This window comes from Homo sapiens, chromosome 17, assembly GCF_000001405.40.
Source record: "Homo sapiens chromosome 17, GRCh38.p14 Primary Assembly".
NCBI lineage: Eukaryota > Metazoa > Chordata > Mammalia > Primates > Hominidae > Homo > Homo sapiens.
Window position 1 is genome coordinate 21,061,509 of NC_000017.11, and position 6,368 is coordinate 21,067,876.

At 49.6% G+C, this 6,368-nt stretch overlaps 2 annotated features.

The window, feature by feature from the left end:
• Positions 475-594: an enhancer, noted in NCBI's record as "active region_11877". NCBI's record gives its function as "activates an Ori minimal core promoter by ATAC-STARR-seq in GM12878 lymphoblastoid cells {active_cell/tissue: GM12878}" and the evidence as "EXISTENCE:reporter gene assay evidence [ECO:0000049][PMID:35858748]".
• Positions 5,390-5,890: an enhancer, noted in NCBI's record as "H3K4me1 hESC enhancer chr17:20970211-20970711 (GRCh37/hg19 assembly coordinates)". NCBI's record gives its function as "activates a minimal SCP1, AML or CMV promoter by ChIP-STARR-seq in naive H9 embryonic stem cells {active_cell/tissue: H9 hESC(naive)}" and the evidence as "EXISTENCE:reporter gene assay evidence [ECO:0000049][PMID:30033119]".

Below are 6,368 nucleotides of genomic sequence, written 5' to 3' on the forward strand. Positions count from 1 at the left end.
CCCATCTTGGTGGCTCCCAGGGTGGCCGGCTTTGGAGGGCTCCCAGGGGTGGGCTCCAAGGACTGCTCACCTCCTCTCTGTGTTTTCCCTGCAGTGGTGGCAGGTGAGGTGCAGGTGGCAGGGCGACCCTGGCCAACCCCGCACAAATGAACCTGATGCTCTCAGGGCTGGCCCTGAAAGCCCCAGCTGTGCCTTTGGCTCGGTGCTCACGGGCTCCCGGGATGTGGTGGGGAGCGAGGTTGAAGCCACAGCAGAGGCTCTGGGCCTGGGAGAGCGTCCTGCCTGGCTATGTGAGGGTGGGGATGATGCCATTGGCTGCCTCTGAGATGGGGCACAGGGGACCCACCACTGCCACTGCTGCTCCTGCAGCCACTCCTGCCTCCTGCCACCACTGCCTGTACCTCCCTGCTGCAGCTGGCATGATGGCAGTGGCCACTCCGGATGTCCCACTGCTGCCATCAACAACACTTTGGGAGGCCAAGGCAGGAGGAGCACTTGAGGTCACGAGTTTGAGACCAGCCTGGGCAACACAACAAGACTTCATCTCTAAAATAAATAAATGAAAAGACAAAGAAACCACCCAAATTCTAGGAGGCCACAGAGTGAGAACCCCTCCAGTTACCTCCACCAGAAAATGGGCCTGGGAAGCATGTTTGCACTGTCTCCTGCGGTCCCTCCCAGGCACGCCCATGTGGTGGATCCTGATCATGTGTTGTACCCTTGAGGAAATGGAGTCTGCGAAAGTGAATTTCTGGCCTTCCCATCCTGAAGATGAGAGACCCTTGATGTGGAACGTTCCCCAAACAGAGGGTGGCTGTTCACTAGGTGCTGGGAGGCCACTGGAGTGTGACAGAGGCCCTGTCGGCAGCCACCAGGAAGCACAACCAGAAACAGAAACTCAGTGCATTTCCCTTAGTGTTGGTGTCAGAGTCTAATTTTCAAAATGTTAAAAACATAATCCTCATAAAAACGAGTAGTGAGCATGGCATGAAAATTGTGTTTAACTCATTAGTGAGGGAACCAGCAGGAAGACATAGACAAGACAAAAGACGATATGAGGAAAAGGGAATTTTATAATCAGTAATGGGAAACGGAATACTGAGATAATATTTGCTCATCAGCTGGAAAATGTTAATGCTCCACCACAATCCTTCTCAAACCAGAGCACACAACAGAAGAAGCTTGGGGTGCCTGGCTGCACCCCGAGTTTGTGATTTTGTAGGTCCAGAGCGGGGCCTGAGAATCCACATTCCCAAGTGCTGCTGCTGGCCCAGCACCACGCTCTGAGAATCATATTCTCCAGGGAAATGCAGCTCTGGAGTGGGCTTTTCTGCTGGTGACAAAGGAAAATCACTGCACCTTATTGGTTGTCTGCTCATTAATCTTTAAGTTTAGAGAGTTGTAAATGTCTGGGTTCTAATCAGGAGTAAATGGTAGGCTAGGCAGAGGCATATCCCTCAAAGCTGTAATGTCTAGCAGGAAATTAAAAATCAGTTTACCTTATTTTCAAGCTTTGGATAAGTTTTCTTAACAGTGGTGCTGATGACACAAATGTCTTCTTTTTTTTCTTTGAGACGGAGTCCTGCTCTGTCACCCAGGCTGGAGTGCAATGGTGCAATCTTGGCTCACTGCAACCTCTGCCTCCTGGGTTCAAGTGATTCTCCTGCCTCAGCCTCCTGAGTAGCTGGAATTACAGGTGTGTGCCACCACACCTGGCTAATTTTGGTATTTTTAGTAGAGACGGGGTTTCACCATGTTGGCCAGGAAGCTCTCAAACTCCTGACGTCACGATCTGCCCACCTCGGCCTCCCAAAGTGCTGGGATTACAGGCGTGAGCCACTGTGCCCAGCCCACAAATGTCTTAATAGATTATTTATTTTGCATTAATTCCTCCAAACTGCCAAAGCAGAGATTGCCATATATCATGTTGGGTAATATTTTCCACTAAGAAGAAGGAAAAAAGAGTAGAGAAGAAAAATACCATTACCATCCATGTGCATGACTCTTTGTAGGTTTTTGTTGTTGCTGTTGTTGTTGTTGTTTCTGAGACGGAGTTTCACTCTTGCAGCCCAGGCTGGAGTGCAGTGGCGCAATCTCGGCTCACTGAAACCTCCGCCACCTGGGTTCAGGCAATTCTTCTGCCTCAGCCTTCCGAGCAGTTGGAACTACAGGCGTGCGCCACCACACCCGGCTAATTTTTGTATTTTCAGTAGAGACAGAGTTTCACCATTTTAATCAGGCTAGTCTCAAACTCTTGACTTCAGGTGATCTGCCTGCCTCGGCCTCCCAAAGTGTGTGGATTACAGGCGTGAGCCACTGCGCCCGGCCTCTTTGTAGGTGTTAAAGGGCTTTTCCACATCTGATCTCTTGTGACCCTTGCCATAATCCTGTGAGGTGTGTGCTTTCATCCCATTCTTGTGGACAGGTAAACGGAGCCTCTGGGAACTCAAATCACCTCCCCAAGGTGACAGTGGATACAAGCATCAGAGGGTATCGTCCCCACAGAATGCAGGAGACTACATCCTGAAGTCAGTGGAATGTGGGCTTTGGCCACAGTCCTTGTCTCAGTCTCATTCATCTTCATCATTTGGTTGTTTTGCTCCTAATTCATCTTTACTTAATGAGAGAACCTTGCATATTCACTCAATGAAAGGCCCTAGCACACGAGGGCCTGTTGAAATAGTTTGGCTATTAGAATTCTCCTCTGTATAAAAGAAAGCACAGAAGACATAATTTCTAAAATAGCTAGGAATATGGAATACATGCCTCTAAGGGGACAAAGTAAAGCATCTTGTGTCACGATTAAAGTCAGAAAGTGGCTGGACATGGCTTCAGGCCCTGTAGTAATTATTAAAGGCTAATGCCTGTAATCCCAGCACTTTGGGAGGCTGAGGAGGGCGGATCACTTAAGGTCAGGAGTTCGAGACTAGCCTGGCCAACATGGCGAAACCCCGTCTCTACTAAAAATACAAAAATTAGCCAGGCATGGTGGTGCATGGCTGTAAGTCCAGCTATTCAGGAGGCTGAGGCATGAGAATAGTTTGAACCCAGTAAGCAGAGGTTGCAGTGAGCCAAGATCACGCCACTGCATCCCTGCTTGGGCAACAGAGCGAGACTTAGTCTCAAAATTGCGCCACTGCACCCCAGCCTGGGTGACAGAGCAAGACTTAATAAAAAAATAAATAAATAAATAAAAGAGCCTAGGTCTGGGACCAGACTGCCTAGGTTCCAATTCTGTCTGCAGTGCTTACAGGCATGTGACTTTGAGCAAGTTGCTGCCTCAGTTTCCTAATTTGTAACATGGGGTAATGACAATATCCACATTATGGGGCTGTTATAAAGATTAAATGAGTTTCAAAGAGTAAAGAATTTAGGGCAGTCTGGGTGTGGTGGCTCATGCCTGTAATCCCAGCACTTTGGGAGGCTGAGGCGGGTGGATCACTTGAGCCCAGGAGTTTGAGACCAGCCTGAGCAAGATGGCGAAACCCATCTCTACAAAAATAAAAATTAATAAATTAGCCAGGCATGGTGGCATGCCCCTGTAGTCCCAGCTACTTGGGAGGCTGAGGCAGGAGAACAGCTTGAACCCAGAGGCAGAGGTTGCAGTGAGCCAACATCATGCCACTGCACTCCAGCCTAGACCATAGAGTGAGACTCTGCCTCCAAAAAACAAACAAACAAACAAAAAGAGAATTTAGGGCAATCTGGCACATGGTAACATGAGTCATACTGCAGCAGGAAGAGACACAGACAAAACCCCTCAGACACCGAGTTAAAGAAGGAAGGGGTTTATTCAGCCAGGAGCATTGACAAGACTCCTATCTCAAGAGCTGAGCTCTCTGAGTGAGCAATTCCTGTCCCTTTTAAGGGCTCACAACTCTAAGGGGGTCCGCGTGAGAGGGTCGTGATCGATTGAGCAAGCAGGGGGTACGTGACTGGGGGCTGCATACACCGGTAATTAGAATGGAACAGAACAGGACAGGGGTCTTCACAGTGCTTTTTTATGCAAATAACCGATTAGGTCAGGGGTCCATCTGTAACTACCAGGCCCACGGTGTGGCGCCAGGCTGTCTGCTTGTGGATTTCATTTTTGCCTTTCAGTTTTTACTTCGTCTTTCTTTGGAGGCAAAAATTGGGCATAAGACAATATGAGGGGTGGTCTCCTCCCTTAATACATTTGTCCCAATCATCACATGCACCACACGATGCAGAAGTCCATGGACACAAGCTGGGAGGAATCCTATGGACACCAGCATCCTCCTCAGCACCGTGACAGCATGGACTGAGCGAGCACTGTGTGCCAGGCATCATGTCGGGTGTGCGAGATGCAGCATTCCACAGGTCGGGGGGCGGTCATTAACCCCACTTTACAGACGAGGAGATCTGGACCAGGCAAATCAGACAACCTGTCCAAGCTCATACAATGTCACATCCCCAACACCAGTTCTTCCCAGTGTGCCTGCTGCTCTGCCACACAGTGGGCCAGAGATGGGTTCTTTCTGATTTTCATACTTCCTGTTAATGTCATATTTGTCTCATAATAAAGATAAACTGCCTATGGAAGGTAACCCCAAAAGCCTCAGGCAAGACAGGGAGGGGAGCTGAGTAGCTGCCTCCTAACCCAGGAGTAGGGAAAGCATCTGTCAAGGCCAAACTTGGCCAACTTCACACTTCCCGGGGCTCTAGCACCAGAGTTGTCCATACTGGGGGCTTTGGAGGGGCCAAGAAGTCAGATCCCCAGAAATTTCCAGCCCCCTTCTGCCAGGCATTCTCAATATGTGCTTGACACTTGGCTATTCAGACACTGAAAGTCTTGCTCTGTGAGGAGCAAGAACCAGACAGCACGCCACTCCTTGGTGTTTTCAAGGCACCAGTGGCCTCAGATGTGCCACCAGGGTGAGGGGGCAGCTCTTACTCTCTTCTGCCAGGGAACCACAGAGGTAAAGCCCTACATTGGGTGCCTTGCTCTCTGGCATCAGGATGCCTGAGGCCCAAGGGTGATGGCAGCTGAACAGATGCATGCTGTGTCATGAGTTTCCAGGGTCTACCCAGCTCGGGGCGGCTTTGTGGTGCAGAGGAGAGAGGAGGGAGAGGTCTGGCCACCAGTCTTAGGCCAGATGACTCAGCTGATCTCCAGAATGGAGATGGAGCACTTGGCTTTCATTTCTATCCTCCAGATGTGCCTTGCAGGTCACAGATTTTTCCTGTTCACATGATAAAGGGCTCTGTTTTCCATTCTCCCTTGGTTGCACCCTCCTCTGCACCCAGATGGCACCCCAGCAGATTAAGGAGCTGGCAGGACAGTAAGCAGAGCCGGCCACAGAGTGGAGGGGCTCGCAGAGCATGCGGGAGGCTCTCCCTGCAGGTGTCTGTGTTGCCCACCAGCTAATCCCAGTGCATCTTGAAATAGATCCAGCACCCTCGCTGCTGCCATGCTGGGCCAAGCCACCTTTATCTGTTACCTAGATGACTACTCTAAAACCTAACAGATCTCCTTCCCTTTCTCTTCTTCACTTCAGCCACGTCCTGTCCCCTCCCTGTTCAGAACCCTGCAATGTCCCCTACCTCACTCAGCATCAAAGCAAAGTCCTTAAAACAACCCAGGCCGGGTACGGTGGCTCACACCTGTGATCCCAGCACTTTGGGAGGCCAAGGCGGGCGGATCACCTGAGGTCTGGAGTTCCAGACCAGCCTGATCAACATGGAGAAACCCCGTCTCCACTAAATATACAAAATTAGCCGGGCGTGGTGGCACATGCCTGTAATCCCAGCTACTCCAGAGGCTGAGGCAGGAGAATTGCTTGAACCCGGGAGGGGGAGGTTGCAGTGAGCCAAGATCGCGCCATTGCACTCCAGCCTGGGCAAGAAGAGTGAAACTCCATCTGAAAAAAAAAAAAAAAACCCAAACATCTGTCAACAGATGAATGGATCAGCAAAATGTGGTATATCCATAAAACAGAATATCATTCTGCCATAAAAAGGAATGAAGTACTGATGCCTGCTACGACATGGATGAACCTCAAAAACATGATGCTGAGTGAAAGAAGCCAGACAGAAGGCCACACATTGTACAATTCCACGTATATGACATGTCCAGAATAGGAAGTAAATTAGTAGTTGTCAGGGACCAGGGGAGGAGCAAAGGGGCAGTCACTGCTTAGTGGGAACGACATTTCCTTATGGGGTGATGAAAGTGTCTGGATAGAGGTGGTGACTGCATAACATTATGGATGCACTTAATGTCACTGAATTGTACACTTTAAAATGCTTAATTTTATATTCTGTGAATTTCACCTCAATAAAAAAAGTTTTAAAGTATTGCATTAAAATTATAAAAAGTGGGGCGGGGCGCGGTGGCTCACGCTTGT